Source organism: Homo sapiens, chromosome 4 (assembly GCF_000001405.40).
Source record: "Homo sapiens chromosome 4, GRCh38.p14 Primary Assembly".
NCBI classification, from domain to species: domain Eukaryota; kingdom Metazoa; phylum Chordata; class Mammalia; order Primates; family Hominidae; genus Homo; species Homo sapiens.
This window is the reverse complement of record NC_000004.12, coordinates 118162475-118180147: the sequence shown is the minus strand read 5'-3', so window position 1 is coordinate 118180147 and position 17673 is coordinate 118162475. Positions and strand designations below refer to the sequence as shown.

General features: G+C 35.1%; 1 protein-coding gene and 1 long non-coding RNA gene across 14 annotated transcripts in view; one reads left to right on the top strand and one right to left on the bottom strand.

Annotated features, from left to right (window-relative positions):
* Nucleotides 1–17673, bottom strand: part of NDST3 (N-deacetylase and N-sulfotransferase 3) — a 225313-nt gene that overhangs the window by 78487 nt on the left and 129153 nt on the right. For 2 of the 13 annotated variants that reach the window (XM_047416415.1, XM_011532416.4), the window contains exon 7: nucleotides 1498–17673. This exon is cut by the window's right edge and continues 17531 nt beyond it. The exons of the other annotated variants lie outside the window; for them this stretch is intronic. The gene's annotated coding sequence lies outside the window, so the exon portion shown is untranslated. Of the gene's footprint in view, nucleotides 1–1497 lie in introns of those variants that run through there. 13 annotated transcript variants of the gene reach the window in all.
* Nucleotides 1–17673, top strand: part of LOC107986307 (uncharacterized) — a 149690-nt gene that overhangs the window by 24279 nt on the left and 107738 nt on the right. The window lies entirely within an intron of this gene.

Genomic DNA, 17673 nt, shown 5'->3' with positions numbered 1-17673 from the left:
CAAACTTGTACATATATCCCCTGAATCTAAAATAAAGGTTAAAAAAACAAACAAACCCTATTTCTTTGTCTTTGGCTCTTACCTCTCCTCTTCCTCCACTCCCCCTCTATTTTCACCCTAGATGTGTTAAGAACCATGTTAACTGGAGGCGTAAGGTAGGAAATAGAGACAAAGTCTATCATCCTCATTTTCCCATTGAAGAGCCTTCCTTGTAGTAAAGTAGAGCTGTAGGATGAGGGCAGGGGTTAAAAGTTTCAACCTTAAATTACATTTAGTACTTTGATTATTATATAATATTGGATACATTACTTACTAAATTGAGACTTATTCACAACTAAAGTGACTGGAGAACTTTTTAGTATCTGAGAATAACCAAAAAATGTTGAGGCTTACTTGAGTTTTTTTTCTGGGGAGATGGGAGGAACTAGCCCTACAGATTGGCTTATAGGGATGGGCACAGGAAAAATAATGAGGCTGTTTCTGGATTTTATTAGTCTTGCTCATTTAAGCCAAGGATACATATATATTAAACACAATAATAGGTTTAAGGCTACAGGATATTACTTCATTTTCCAGACACTAAAACTTTTCTAGTTTTTAAAAAAGTTTAATTGGGAGTGGACCTCCACCTTCCCTCCCTTACCACTTCCAAATTCTCACCATTGATCAGATAACTGAAGTTAGATTTCTAGTAATTATGGCAGAATGAGGGCTTGCATTATGATCTAATTTAATTAAAAAAACCTAATTTTTGCAAACCTCAATTTATAGATTACTATTCATATCTGATTTATAGGAATAAATGTTTTCTTATGCAGTACTAATGTTAAAAATATGTGAAGTTACTCATTATGGCACGCTTTCAATGGGTCTCTCATTTAGGTAAATCTTACAAGCAAATATACTGACTGCCTTTTTTTCCCTGGACTATCTTTTTAAAGATATTTGTAAAGTAAACAGCCTTGGAAGACAGAAATAGTGTCTCCCCCCAGGGCAAAGGTCAGGTTTGTCTATTGTCCACCATAATAAAAATTATGACTTTCTAGGGCAAAAGTCAGACAGGTTTATTGCCTATTATGTGAGATTTGGGTTCTCTAAAGTTGGAGTTCCTCTTAGGTAATATATCTGATATTCTGGCTATTGCTATTGCTGTCCTTTATATTTAACCTCATGCCTTCTTCCAGCATCCATGAATTGTAGCTGGCCAACTTTTAGCTTGCAAGTAGGATAAATCACAATATTTGGCAATACTAAAATAATCTCAAACTTATTAGGATAGCTAGTATCAAAGCAACAGGAAATAATGTGTTGGCAAGGTTGTGAGAAAGTTGGAATCCCTGTGCACTGATGGTGGGAATGTATAGTGGTATAGCTGCTATGGAAAACAGTATAATGATTCTTCAAAAAATTGAAGATAGAATTACCATATGATCCAGCAATTCTGCTTCTGGGTATATACCTAAAACAACTGAAAACAGGGTCTTGAAGAGATGTTTGTACACCCATGTTCACTGCAGCTTTTATTCACAATGGCCACAAGGTGGAAGCAATTTAAGTGTTCATCAATGAATGAATGAATACACCAAATGTGATATATACATACAATGGAATATTACTCAGTCTTAAAAAGGAAGAAAATTCTGACACATGCGATAACATCAATGAACCTTGAGGATATTATGCTAAGTGAAATAAGCCAGTAACAATAAGAAAAATACTGTTTGGTTCCACTTAAGTGAGGTACCTGGAATAGTCAAGTTTATAGAGACATAAAACAGAATAGTAGTTGCTAAGGATTCGGGGCAGGAGGAATACGGAATTGCTGTTTGATGGATATAGAGATGCAGATTTGCAATATGAAAATGTTTTGGAGACCTGTGTCACAACAATGTGAATGTGCTTGACACTACTGAGTTCTGTACTTAAAAATAATTAAGATGATAAATTTTACATTATGTGTATTTTATCACAATTAAAAATATTAAAATAACACATCCAGATTCTAATTTCAGCCTTGTTATATGGATGTCGTAGATATAATACAATTTTTAAAAGGACTTATGCTTTTTTTTTTCCTGTGGGTCCTTGAGACCCTCAGAATATGCTTAAGAAATTAAAATAGGGTGTGTGTGGTGACTGAATTAGTTACTCATTCAACTTAACTGTAACTATCCAACTTTATTTCTCATTGTTCTCCAGTATTAGATTTCCATTTCAGTAAAGCCCCTCCTGGATTTTCTAAACATTCCAGGATTATTCTTCCTGCAGATTGTTGCCTTCTCCACTCCTTCACCTAACCGAATCATGATCATCCAGGAAAACTCATTCAAATCTTCCATTCTTCATTGAGACTTCAAGACTCATAAGAATGTTTCCCTTTAAAAAATCCCAGCAGCACTTGTGTTGCAGCCTTGATATACTTTATAATCATGATCCAGGATTACCCCATTCTGAAATATTTATCATGATCTGAAACCCAGGACTTAAATGATAAGTCAAAAGGCAAACTCCATTCATGTTCTTTTGTTGTTAAAATATGTCTGGCTCCATTGTTCTTAATAGTTGTGGTGGAAAAATCTATAGGGTCATGATGTTTTCCTGTAATCTTAAACCAAATTAAAAGAGGCTGACATTGATTGAGGGTATTCAAATTGGGATAAAAGAGCATTTTAAATATTATCCAAATGAAAACTGATAAAAGCAGTGAACCCAGTGATTTCATCAAAGACAAGAAAAAACTTGGTAGAAGGATGCTTTTGCATTTGATTTGGTGATTAATCTTCTAGAAATAATTCATGCTGTACAGCATAGAGGATGCTGAATAATCTGCATGCCATTTTAATGAGAAAGAGGCAAATGGCAAAAACCTTCCTAAGCTGTCTTTATCCTAAGAATCCTATCCTATTTACCAGGAGCCCTTACTGTCTCTATATTTCCCAGTACCTTCACATACATTATCTTCACAAACTTGTTCTTTGCCACAACCCTGTGAGACTGACATTTTCCCTATTTTTTTAATAGTTAAGAAATTTGATATTTGGATTATTTAAATGATTTGCTTGTGACTCTTGGTTCTATCACCTGATTTGCTTATTACTGTCTTATGGCTTTCCTCTTCCTTGTCCTGAATGCCTCCTCACTTCCTCACAATTCATAGATAATTCATTGTCTATTTTCAATTTTCATTTAAATCTAAATTAAGGTTTCAACTTAAATCTACCTTCTCCTTGAAGACCTCTATTATTGATGAAGTTCACATAGTTTTTTTTACTTTCAAATTTCAAGTTGATGCTGCATAATTCAATCTCAAATTCCATTGATTATTTTCCAGATCTTTCATCAGATTATTTCATATCTCATAAAGTAAAATGTAAATTCTTTAAGAGAAAGGGTTATGGCTTACAAAGCTTTTTTGTTCTATCAATTAGTGTAGTGGGTGTCTCATATTAGAAGTTTAATAAATATTTCTTAATGTAGCCTTTCTTAACCAGTTTTTGAGAACATTCCACATTCTCTGTATTATTATTTCTCTATATCATTATGGAGAAAATAATTCAACTGCCTATTTTCATAATTCTCACAACAAGGGTACAAAGCTAGAGAAGTGAACTCATCACGTGCAATGGATTCATAAGAGCATTAGGGCTTAATTCTCCCAGGTTGAGAAGAACAATTTAATGAGCTGACCATCATCAACACCAAGATGAAAGGTTAGATAATAAATGACCTTTGGTCATAATAATATGCAACTTTCTATCTGCATATAATGTTATGAAGGCATAGTGCAAAGTAATTTAAGAAGAAACAGTTAAAAGAATTTATAATGTTAAATGTATGGATGAAGTATGAGAAAATATGTAGGGGATAGGTTTGCTTGCAGGTTTTTTTTTAAATTTTAAGTTCTGGGGTACATGTGCAAGATGTGCAGGTTTGTTACATAGGTAAATGTTTGCTTGCAGGGTTTTTTTTAAGACTTAAATTCAAGAAAGGTAACTAGAATAATTATATAATTATTTTAATCTAAATAATTAGATATTCGAGGAGTACAAAAAATTGCCAAAAATTTTAACCTTTAATATGGCAAACTTTTTACTAAAGCTAATAAAGCATAATGATACACATTTGCATTTTTTGCCACTTTGGAGGTAAGAATGTGCAATGTGTTGGCTAAAGTGGAGTAAGGATAGCACAGACCAGCTAATCAGTCTCCAGTCACCTGAAATTTGGCACAGAGAAAAAGACACACAAACAATTGTAAACATGGAAGAACAATTCCACACTGAGAACACACATTTACATAAAGTCTCTTCTCCAGAGGCTTTCTAATTCACAGTGAAATGCCTGTTTTAGTGGGCGTCAAACTCTTTTCCAGCACAGGTCCAGGCTGAGAGAGAAGTTCGTTATGTCTGCATGCCCTCAGGAACAGGCAGAGGCAAACCACACAATTGAGGTTTTTATAAGTTGCCACAAGGATATGGTTTAGCTTCACCTCTATCAAGGAGGGCCCATGGCGTGTGCCTCCCAGTGTGCGAGATAAGAGAGGGTAGGTGTAATTGTTACTAGAAGAGTCATTTTAATCTTCTTGTGATAAGGTAGGGGGAGAAAAGATACTATTCCAAAGTGTTGTCTAGGAAAGAAAAGAACATAGATAAGACAGCAACTTTTAAGTCAGAGAAGTTAGTAAATGTGGGCACTACTTAGTGATGGATGACTAATTATTATTAATATATGATATTAATCTGATTTTAGAGAAAATAATGGTAATAAAAGGAACTGAGAGTAAGAGGAGGCCTAAGTTACTAGAGGAATGAAAATAAGTAAAAACTGGGCAAGACAAAGGTGGGAAAGAGAAAAGAAGAAATCAGAAGAAAAAATTAATGGCTTTACAGTTAAAGGGAGTTTACTTGGGAATACTGGCATAGATAGGCTATTAAGTGAAAAAGGCAGAAAGATTCTGTTGGAAAAAATCTCTAGGTACCTCTGTGAGGCAAGAAAACAATGAAATCAAGGATAAACACTGGAGCATTGAATTGATGAGGTACACCAGAGGGTTATAGTCAAGTCTGAGAGATGGTTGCTGGTAAAATACGGGGTATTATCAAGGTAGCATGAAGTCCTCTGTAGACTGTACGTGGTCAGAGTTCTGGTCATGGATTTTGGCTGTTAATCTTATGAGGATTATAAAATGTGAAAGGAAGGGATGGCTTTTAGCATAGCAAGCTGGTTCAGAGCAAAAGAAATGACAAAATTATAGGTGACAGTGGAGAGGCAGGCAAGAAGGCAGTCACAGAATCCAACTTTAGTCACAGTCGGATTCTAAAATGAGCTACCGAAGATTAACTCAAGGACACTTGTACCTGGGTGAGCAACTACAGAGAAAATTCTTTCTAGGCTCAAAGAGTCAAGGAGAAGTAAAAAATTAAAATGAAACAGTGCCAAATGTTTTCTGAATGCTCATGAGTCTTCTTGTCTTGGAAATGGTGGTTGGGAGCACTTAGACACAAAAATTACATTAAACAAAAATGTTTAAGTTAGCAGCATGCTGTCAAAATATTCCATCACCTTTCACTTGGAAACATACATGCTTTAAGATCATGCTGGGCAGCACTGTTGAGATCTCTGTACAATGATAGTTAGTTCACAGTCCAGCCAGCTGTACAGAATTATAAATATATATTTCAAAATTTTGAACAAAATAATGTGTTACTTCCATATAGTTCATCAGATCTGATTTCTCTTGTAAATATAAGTAGGGATCATTTGCAAAATAACAGAGTAGAATTTCCTGTGCAGACAGATGCTTTTTATATTTATAAAGCTTGAGCTCCTTTTTTATTTTTCTTTTTAATGTTCTGGGAAACTGGAAACTGATATGATTTTTCATATCAAGTTTAGTTTAACATATGGCAGTGAGCTCTCTGAGACTGTCTCCAAACTTTGCAGTTAACAGTTTCCAGCCTACACAGGAAACGAAGCTGTGCTTCTGACGCATTCCCATTATATGGGAAGACCGCAGAGAACAGCCTAAAGTTAAACCACAAAAAATTATGTTTATACAAAGCGCAGCATTCAATTTAAACCACAGTTGCACAGAAATCTTCAGTTGATGCTTCAATTCCAGTTTTAAGTTGTTCTAGTGAAATGTTGCAAAGTGTATCAATAACCAGTCACTGCTTCATTTATTCTTCAGCTTTTAGTTAGGTAGATAAGCAAAAAGCAAGTTCTGACTCTGGATATTGCTTTCTCAGTTTAAGAATCAGCTTGTGTTTGTAGATCTTCTACTGGAATTCTATGTATTACAATAGCAAAGCAAGACAAACCAATGAACAAAACTTCATCAAGCCAGAACCCTTAAAGGAAAGAGTGGCAATACCCATTGTTCAAAAAATTTTTATATATTACATTCCCCCTAATACATATACATACTGTATACAGAGTGTGTACATACAGAGTATATGGAAAATAAAGTACTGAATATGATGATTACCTCAGCATGACATAGAGTTGTATATTCTGTCATAAAATAGTTCCATACTGCTATATAGCTATGCTTTTTGAGTTCCTGGGCTGCTTTTTAATAGGGTTGAGTTTTGTTTTTGTTTTTTTGTTTTGGTGGTTTACTCTTTTGTCAGCTTTCATTCCCCATTGCTATTGCTCTAGCATTCCTTCTCTTCTTTCTGTCATGTTCTAATGTTTGTGTATACTACATCCCTTAGGATAAGAAACCAGACTAAGAAGTGTGACCAAATTCTGTTTAAAAATGAGGCTATCTAAGGCTATGAGCATGGGCCAGGGGTAGTCTATCAACAAAGCACAATGACAGTGGAAAGAATGTGGGCTTGTTTCTTAGTTGTTTTCCTTTGGTCCAATTATGCAACTTCTTTGAACCTCAGTTTCTTCATCTATTAGAATTTTCAGTTTCCTCATCTAACAGAATTGCTGCTAGGGTAAAATAAGATGTGTATATATCTTATTTTATCATATATATATATACACACACACACACACACACATATATATGCCTCATAGAGTTGTTGTGAGGATTAAATAAGGTCATTTATGAAAGCATGTAGCACATTGCCTGGCACAAAGTAGATTCCTTTTGTCTTCTCTCCCTTCTCAAGGGGACTTTCTTATTTATTTCCTTGTTCTTGTCTGCAATCCATACAGTTGTTATGGCGAGAAGTACAATTGCTGATAGTTTACATATTATTAGTGTTTTACCTCTCACACTATGGACTTTTAGAAAGAGTTAATGTTTTGAAATGTGAAGAAAAAGATTCCTTATATACTCAAAAAGTATCATTTTAATGAACCTCTTAATATATTATCTTAAAATGAGTCATATAATGTTAGTATGATTCATATAAATGTTAATACATAATTAGATAGGAATAATCATTCTTTGCTAAGAACTCATCTTAGCACTTTTAATCAGTGCTTTATCCTTCTTGTTAGAAAAAGTGACATAAAATCATTAAAGAAAAATTAAAAAATATGGAAGAGCAGAAAGAAAAATATGCCCAATCCTCAACATTCAAAGATCCATATCTTTTTGTTATTTTAATGACATTTTGTTTTAAAACTTTGCCATTTATGTATAATTTTGTATTCTTTTTATACATATCTCTCATACCTCATGTTATCACCAAATTATTCATAAGCATAAATTTTTAAGTCTGTACAATCATCTATAAAGTGAATATGATTTATTTACACATTTTCCCTTCAGTTGGACATTCAGGTTGTTTCTATTTTCTGTCGCCATTACAATTTACACTTTTTCTCTATTTAGCACTCTTTCCTTAGGAGACATCCCTAGAAGTGGAATCATAACATTAAAGGATACCAAGATGTTTAAGGCTGTTGCCAAGTTGGAAAACAGCAATCTCAGAATCCCAATTTTACTACAAAAGACACCTGGCCAAGCCTCCCTGGTGTTTGTCCTATTTACACCAAATGAATGCCTCAGCCCTTTATTTTACTATGGTTAGAGAATATCACCTTGACCATGTTCACTTTACTGATGCCAACTGCAATGAACATTGAGATGGCCCGATAATACTTTTTGAAACCTTGATTTATAATGTCTACTAAATAACCAATTTCTCATAAGAGAGACCTCTATTATTATTGTAGTGTTATTGACATTTTTACAGAAGGGGACATGGAAGCACAGAGTAGAATCAGCAAGACAACTGAGGTGTGTATGTTCCTCCTTTGTCATCCCAGGACACCTACGTTGCTTACTGGCTCATATCTGGCTGTGAGCTCCTGACACGCTACATTTACCAACAAGCCCTACTTAACCCTAGGTTTGCTAGTTTGCAAGAAAAGATGTGGCAAACCCACTCCTTTTGGAAAACAGAGAGGGCCCAATTATTCAATTATCTGTGTTATAATACCTCCCTGGAAAGCGGTATTGTATGACCTTCAGAAGGACGGACAATTCCGCTGACATCCAAGACCAAAACATCAGGGGCAAATACACTCATATGCAAATAAAGCTTCTGTGAGGGCCTCCACCCAAGATAGGAAATTACTAACATCTGCAACAGGTCACCCCACACTCTAGGGCCACAGGGAAGTGAGGTCGCTCAGAACACCAAGCAGCATTAGCCTAAGCAACCAGACAAAAAAACCCCAGTGGATTAAACTCTGCAAAGTAAAATCTTAAGAACCTACTGAGTTATGATAGGAAATGCCTCAGCAATCTAAATCTCAGATATGATACAATATCATATGCCCTGGAGGTAAGATTGAAGCTGAGCATTAAGCATCCTAAGGGGGATATCAATTTAGTGAAACTCCCAATTTGAGTGTAACTGGGACCTTTTTAAAAAAATTTCCTTGCCAGGATTGCCTCTCCTGGCCCAAATTTGTAGGCCTTTTTGGGGGTAGTGAGAAATGATTTGGCTTTGACTGAGTTCTTTTAGGGCTGAAGTTTCTACTACAAAGAAAGAAATGAGTAGGCAGGGACTTGAGGTCAAAATAGGAATTCTCTAAGAAGTGTACACAAAGGTTTAAGTAGAAGATATTTGAAACATCAATTAAAAGTAGGAAATTGTAAACAACTTGCTGTTTCTAAAACACCCCAAGCACACTCATGGGGGTTTTGTACTTGCTGTTTCCTTTGCCTGGAGATGAAATCAGAGAGGTAAGCTTTGGGAATCACACAGGATCTTGCAGGCCTTGGTAAGCAGCCTGCCTTCTACTCCGAAGAGAGAAGATTGGAGGGTTGTGAGCAGAAAAATAATGCTATCTGACTTATATTTTACTTTCTCTTCATTTAATTGAGAAAAATATCCTAAATCTATAGAAAAGGCAAATAATTAGTAGAGTGAACATCTGTGTAACCTTTACCTATTCTCTGATTACTTACAGTTCACCACACTTATTTTTTCTTTGTTTCTTTTTTTGAGATGGGGTCTCACTCTGTCGCCCAGGCTGGAGTGCAGTGGTGCGATCTCGGCTCACTGCAATCTCCACCACCCGGATTCAAGCGATTCTTCTGCCTCAGCCTCCCAAGTAGCTGGGACTGCAGGTGTGCACCACCAAACCTGGCTAATTTTTTGTATTTTTAGTAGAGATGGGGTTTCACCATATTGGCCAGGCTGGTCTCGAACTCCTGACCTCGTGATCTGCCGACCTCTGTCTCCCAAAGTGCTGGGTCTGCCTCCCAAAGTGCTGGGATTACAGGCGTGAGCCATGGTGCCCGGTCTCTCTCTTTATTTTTTATTTTGCTGAATCATTTGAAAACAAGTTGCAGATATCAAGACACTGCCATTAAATCTTTTGGCATGTATCATGTAAGAATAAGTACATTTTTTATATAACTGAATCTCATCATCACACCTAAGAAAACTGGTTATTAATTCAGTATCATCTATTATACAGTCCAGATTTAAATTTCCCCAACTGCCTCATTGTTGTCTGTGGTAAATTCTATTTTCCAAAAATGACTACCACAATTTCTCTTTCTTCCAGAATGTTGTCAGTCTCCTATAAAGAGAGATAATTTATTTATTCTGTGTTTGAATGTGGGCAGGCTTTTGTGACAGCAAAAGTGATGCTGTGACTTCTGAATCCAAGGCAATTCTGCTTCTGCCTTACTTGCTGCAACACTTGATGGAGCCTTAAAGCTGTCTGATTGTTCTGGGAAGAGACCCAGATAAGCCCCCCGGTAAAGATCACATGGAAAAGCCCTGGGACTACATGAAGAGATGCCCACCAGCTCACAGATGCTCTAGTCACTGCCACCTGGTTTTCCAGCTCTAGTTACCATCTGACTGCAACCTCATGAGAAACCTGGAGCCAGGATCACCCAGTTCAGCTCTCTTTTTTTTTTTTTTTTGAGATGGAGTCTTGCTCTGTCACCCAGGCTGGAGTGCAGTGGCCTGATCTTGGCTGACTGCAACCTCCGCCTCCTGGGTTCAAGCGATTCTTGTGCCTCAGCCTCCTGAGTAGCTGGGATTACAGGCACCAGCCACCATGCCAGGCTAATTCTTTTATTTTTAGTAAAGACGGGGTTTTGCCATGTTGGCCAGGCTAGTTTCAAACTCCTGACCTCAGGTGATCCGCCTGCCTCAGCCTCACAAAGTGCTAGGATTACAGGCGTGAGCCACTGTGCCCGGCCCACTTCAGGTTTTTCTGATTTCTGACCTACAGAAATCATGAGAGATTGTAAAATGATTAATGTTTTTTTAAGCCTCTTTATTTTGGGGCTAAAAAATAACTTAAAAGTGACTTTTATAGATGTATATTTTTAAAAATTCCAGATCCAATGAAAGCTTAGGCTTATAAATTACATTACATTATTATGCCTTTTAGTTTCTTTTAAGCTAGAATAATCCTCTTTCTTCCTATTTTTAAAAAACACTATATTGTCCTTTTTAGAAAAGTCCAGACTATTTGTTTTATAGAATATATCAGTGTTTGCATTTGTCTGATTATTTCTTCATTAGATTAAGAATACAAAAAGATATTTTAAAAGTTCTTTCTTTTTTTCTTTTTAAAAATTGTGGTAAAAAAATACAACAATATAACATGAAATTTACCCTCTTAAAAATTTAAATATACAGTACAGTATTGTTAATTATAGGTGTGTGTGTTGTACACTGGATCTCTAGAGGGTATTCATCTTGCATAATTGAAAATTTATATCCATTGAACCCTCCCCAAGCTCCTGGCAATCATAAATCTACTATCTGCTTTTATGAGTTCGACTGTTTCAGATATCTCATGTTAAGTGGAATCAAGCAGTATTTGTTCTTCTGTGACTGACTTATTTCACTTAGCATAATGTCCTCAATGTTGATCCATGTTGTCACACATAGCAGGATTTCCCTGTTCTTTTCAAGGCTGAATAACGTTTTATTGTATGAATATACTACGTTTTTTACCCGTTTGCCGATTGATGGACATTTAGGTTGTTTCCTCATCTTGGCTGTGTGAATAATACTGCAGTGAATATGAGAGTGCATGTATCTCTTCAAGATCCCAATTTCAGTTTTTTTGGATGTATACCCGGAAGTCAAATTGTTGAATCATATGGTAGTTCTATTTTTAATTTTTTGAGGAACCTCCATAGTTTTCCATAGCAGCCGTACCATTTTACATTCTTACCAACTGTGTACAAGAGTTCTAATTTCTCCACATTCTCACTAGCACTTGTGTGTATATATATGAGATTAGTGACTTTTGTATGTATGTAAATTTCTCTACATTCTCACTAGCACTTACTTATATTTATATATATGAATTTATATAAAAATTGATGATTAGTGACTTTTTTAAACATCTATATTCATCAGGAGCATTGACCTATAATTTCTTTTCATATGCCTGTTGGTCATGTCGTCTTTGGAGAAAGGACTATTCAAGTTCTTTGTTTACTTTCTAATTGGATTATTTGTTTTTGTTTTTTGCTATTGAGTTGTAGCAGTTCCTTTTATATTTTGAATATTAACTCCTTATTAGACATACAATATGAGGGTATTTTCTCCCATTCCATAGGTTGCATTTTCCCTCAGTTGGTTATTTTATTTTTTTTAATGTGCAGAAGCTTTTTAATTTGATGTAATTCCACCACTTGTCTATTTTTGCTTTTGTGGCATGTGCTTTTGGTGTCATATTCAAGAATCATTGCCAAGACTAATGTAATGAAGTTTTTCCTTTATGTTTTTATTGGAATATTTTACAGTGTCAGGTCTTACTTTTAAGTCTTTAATCCATTTTAAATAGATTTTTGTGTATGGTGTATGATAAGGGTCCATTTTAATTTTTTATATGTGAATATTCAGTTTTCTCAACCCCATTTGTGGAAGAGACCATCTTTTCCTCATTGGGTATTCTTGATGCCCTTGTCAAAGGTCAGTTGACAACATATGCATAGATTTATTTCTGGGCTCTGTATTCTGTTCCATTGGTCTATGTGTCTATCTTTGTAACATCACCATACTGCTTTAATTACTATATCTTTGTAATATATTTTCAAATCAGGAAGTAGGATGCTTCCAGCTTTGTTCTCCTGTCTCAAAATTGTTTTGGATTTTTGGGGCCCTTTGTGGTTCCATGTGAATTTTAGGATTGTTTTTTCTATTTCGGTAAAAAATGCCACTGGGATTTTGATGAGGTTTGCATTTAATCTGTAGATTACTTTGAGTAGTATGGACATTTTAATAATATTAACCTTCCAATCTATGACCATGGAGTATCTTTCCATTTATTTGTATCTTCTTTAATTTCTTTTGGGAATATTTTGCAGTTTTCAGTGTACAAGTTGCTTACTGACTTGGGACAGTTTATTTCTATGTATTTTATTCTTTTTTATGCTATTATAAATGGGATTGTTTTCTTAATTTTCTTTTTGGATAGTTTGTGGTTAGTGAAACATAACTCATTTTTGTATGTTGATTTTGTATCCTGGAACTGTTAATTCTAACAGTTGTTTTTGTGTGTGTGCATGCATGTGTGCCTGCGTGTGTATGTTTCTGTGTGAAATCTTTAGGGTTTTCTAAATATAAGATCATGTCATTTCCAAACAGAGATAATTTTACTCTTTTATTTACAATTTGGATGTCTTTTTTTTTTTCTTGCCTAACTGCTATGGCTAGTACTTCCAGTACAATGTTGAATAGAAATGATCACAGTGGGAGTCCTTGCCTTGTTCCTCACGCAAGTTTTCAGGTTTTTACCATGAAGAATGAGGTTACTTGTGGGGTTTTTCATATATGGCTTTTATTACGTTGAGGTAATTTCCTTTTATTCCTACTTTGTTGCAAGTTTTTATCATGAAATCATATTGCATTTTGTCAAACAATTTTTCTGTATCTATTGGGATGATCATAACATTTTTATCCTTAATTATGTTATTTTGGTATATTACATTAACTGATTTTTGTATGTGGAAACATCCTTGCATCCCAAGAATCAATGCCACTTAGTCATGGTGTATAACCTTTTAATGTGCTGTTGAATTTAGTTTGCACTATTTTTTTGAGGATTTTTGTATCTATGTTCATCAAGAATATTGTCCTATAGTTTCTCTTCTCATAGTATATTTGTCTGGCTTTGGTATCAGGCTATTGCTGACCTCATAGACTGAGTTTGGAAGAGTTCCCTTCTATTCCGTTTTTTTGGAGAGTTTGATAAGGATTGGCATTAGTTCTTTAAATGTTTGATATAAGTCACCAGTAAAGACATCTGTTCCTGGAAGTTTCTTTGTTGGAAGGCTTTTGGTTAGTGACTCAGTCTCCTTACTAGTTACAAGCCTGCTCAGATTTTCTATTTCTTCAAGATGAAGTCTTGGGGGTTGTATGTGTTTAGAAATATATCCATTTTTTCTAGGTTATTCCAATTTATCAGTGTATAATTGTACATTATAGACTATTATGATCATCTTTATTCCAGTGATCAGTTGTAATGTCTTCTCTTTCATTTCCAATTTTATTTATTTGAGTCTTCTTCCTTTTTTGTTAGTAACTAAAGGTTTGCCAATGATGTTAATCATTTCAAAAAACCAATTTCATTGATTTTTTCTCTTATTTTTATATTTTCTATTTCATTTATTTTTGCTCTAATCTTTATTGTTTCCTTTCTACTAATTTTGAGTTTAGTTTGCTCTTTTTTTTCTAGTTTCTTGAGTTTCCCTGAGGTAGAATTAAACTATTTATTTTAATTCTTTCTGTTTTTAAAAATGTAGACATTTATCACTATAAACTTCCCTCATAATACTGCTTTTGTTGCATTCCATAAGTTTTGGTAGGTGTTTTGTTTTTACTTATATCAAGGTATTTTTAAATTTCTCTTTTGATTTTTTTCTTGTACCCAAATTGTTATTGAAGAGTGTTTTATTTAATTTCCACATATTTGTTAATTTCCCATTTTTCCTTCTGCTATTGATTTTTAGTTTCATTCCCTGTGGTAGGAATTGATACTTGGTATGATATCAATGTTCTGAAAAGAGACTTATTTTGTGATCCAACATGTAATCTATCCTGGAATGTATTTTGTGTGAGTTTGAGAAGCATGTGCATTCTGCTGCTGTTGAGTAAAATGTTCTGTATCAGTTGGCCAGGTCAATTGGGTCTATAGTGTTGTTCAAGTATTGTTTTCTTATTGATTTTTGGTCTAAGTGTTCTATTGTTGAAAGTAGGATGCTATCTTCTACTATTATTGTGTTACTGTCTATTTCTCCCTTCAGTTATCTCAATGATTATTACACATATTTGGGTGCTTTGAATTTGCATGCGTTTATATTTATAATTGTTATATCTTCCTGGTTAATTGACTTTTTAATCACTAGATTATGTCCTTCTTTTTTTGTGTGACAGTTTTGGACTTAAAGTCCATTTTTTCTGATATGAATATGGCTACTTTTGCTCTCTCGGTTAACATTTGGATGGAATAAATTTTCCATGCTTTCACTTTCAGCCTGTGAGTGTCTTTAAATCTAAAGCTAGTGTTCTGTAGACAACAATAGCTGGATCTTGTTTTTGTTATCCATTCAGCTACTATATCCATTTTGATTGAGGAGTTTAATTTATTTACATGTAATGTAACTACTGATAGGGAAGCACTTACTATTACCATTTTGTTAATTGTTTTGTCTTGAGGCTTTTCTGTCCATCTTTTCTTCTCTTGCTGTCTTCCTTTGTGTTTTGTTGATTTTTGTATAGTGATAGGCTTTGATTTCTTTCTCATTTATTTGGTAGTTTTTAAAAAGTATTTTCTTTGTGGTACTGTGGGGCTTACATAAAACATCTTATAGTTGTAACAAATATAAAGTTGATATTTTAAGCTGATAACAACTTTAACTTCAATTGGATATAAAACTCTATTCTTTCACCTCCCTTGCCCTTTTTATTATTGTCATATAGTTATAGTGTTTTTTATACTTTTGCCTTTTAACTTGAGTATCAGAATTAAAGGTGATTTATACACAGCCACTAAAATATTACAGTATTATCTATTTTTCTGTATATTTACCTTTACCAGTGAGCTTTATGGTCTCATAATAATTTCTGCTGCTGCCTAGGGTGTTTTCATTTCAACTTGAAGGACTCCTTTTAGCATTTCTTGTAAAGGCGATATAGTGGTAATAAACTCCCTCAGTATTTGCTTATATAGGTCTTTATTTCTTCTAACTTTTAATTTTAGATTCAGGGTTACACGTGCAGCTTTCTTATATAGGTACTCTCATGTCACAGCGGTTAGATGTACAGATTATTTCATCACCCACGTACCCAAGACTGGTACCCAAGAGTTATTTTTTCTGTTCTTCTCCCTCCTCCCAGCCTCAACCCTGTGGTCAGCCCAAGTGTCTGTTGTTCCCCTCTTTGTGTCCATGTGTTCTCATCATTTAGTTCCCACTTATAAGTGAGAACATGTGGTATTTGGTTTTCTGTTCCTGTGGTAGCTTGCTAAGGATAATGGCCTCTAGCTCCATCCATGTTCTTGCAAAGGATGTGATTTTGTTCTTTCTATGGCTGCATTGTATTCCATGGTGTATATGTACCACATTTTCTTTATCCAGCCTACCACTGATGGGCATTTAGGCTGGTTCCATGTCTGCTATTGTAAATAGTGCTGCAACAAACATATGCATGTGTGTTTATGATAGAACAATTTATATTCCTTTGGGTATGTATCTAGTAATGGGATTGCTGGATCAAATGGTAGTTCTGTCTTTAGGTGTTTGAGGAATTGCCAAACTGCTTTCCACAATGGTTGAACTAATTTACATTACCACCAACAGTGTACAAGCATTCCCTTTTCTCTGCAACCTCACCAGCATCTGTTATTTTTTGACTTTTTAGTAATAGCCATTCTGACTGGTATGTATCTCACTGTGGTTTTGATTTACATTTTTCTTATTTTATTTTATTTTATTATTATTATACTTTAAGTTTTAGGGTATATGTTCACAATGTGCAGGTTAGTTACATATGTATACATGTGCCATGCTGGTGTGCTGCACCCATTAACTCATCATTTAGCATTAGGTATATCTCCTCATGCTATCCCTCCCCTCTCCCCCGACCCCACAACAGTCCCCAGAGTGTAATGTTCCCCTTCCTGTGTCCATGTGTTCTCATTGTTCAGTTCCCACCTATGAGTGAGAATATGCGGTGTTTGGTTTTTTGTTCTTGCGATAGTTTACTGAGAATGATGATTTCCAATTTCATCCATGTCCCTACAAAGGACATGAACTCATCATTTTTTATGGCTGCATAGTATTCCATGGTGTATATGTGCCACATTTTCTTAATCCAGTCTATCATTATTGGACATTTGGGTTGGTTCCAAGTCTTTGCTATTGTGAACAGAGCCACAGTAAACATATGTGTGCATGTGTCTTTATAGCAGCATGATTTATAGTCCTTTGGGTATATACCCAGTAATGGGATGGCTGGGTCAAATGGTATTTCTAGTTCTAGATCCCTGAGGAATTGCCACATTGACTTCCACAATGGTTGAACTAGTTTACAGTCCCACCAACAGTGTAGAAGTGTTCCAATTTCTCCACATCCTCTCCAGCACCTGTTGTTTCCTGACTTTTGAATGACTGCCATTCTAACTGGTGTGAGATGGTATCTCATTGTGGTTTTGATTTGCATTTCTCTGATGGCCAGTGATGGTGAGCATTTTTTCATGTGTTTTTTGGCTGCATAAATGTCTTCTTTTGAGAAGTGTCTGTTCATGTCCTTTGCCCACTTTTTGATGGGGTTGTTTGTTTTTTTCTTGTAAATTTGTTTGAGTTCATTGTAGATTCTGGATATTAGCCCTTTGTCAGATGAGTAGGTTGTGAAAATTTTCTCCCATTTTGTAGGTTGCCTGTTCACGCTGATGGTAGTTTCTTTTGCTGTGCAGAAGCTCTTTAGTTTAATTAGATCCCATTTGTCAATTTTGTCTTTTGTTGCCATTGCTTTTGGTGTTTTAGACATGAAGTCCTTTCCCATGCCTATGTCCTGAATGGTAATGCCTAGGTTTTCTTCTAGGGTTTTTATGGTTTTAGGTCTAATGTTTAAGTCTTTAATCCATCTTGAATTGATTTTTGTATAAGGTGTAAGGAAGGGATCCAGTTTCAGCTTTCTACATATGGCTAGCCAGTTTTCCCAGCACCATTTATTAAATAAGGAATCCTTTCCCCATTGCTTGTTTTTCTCAGGT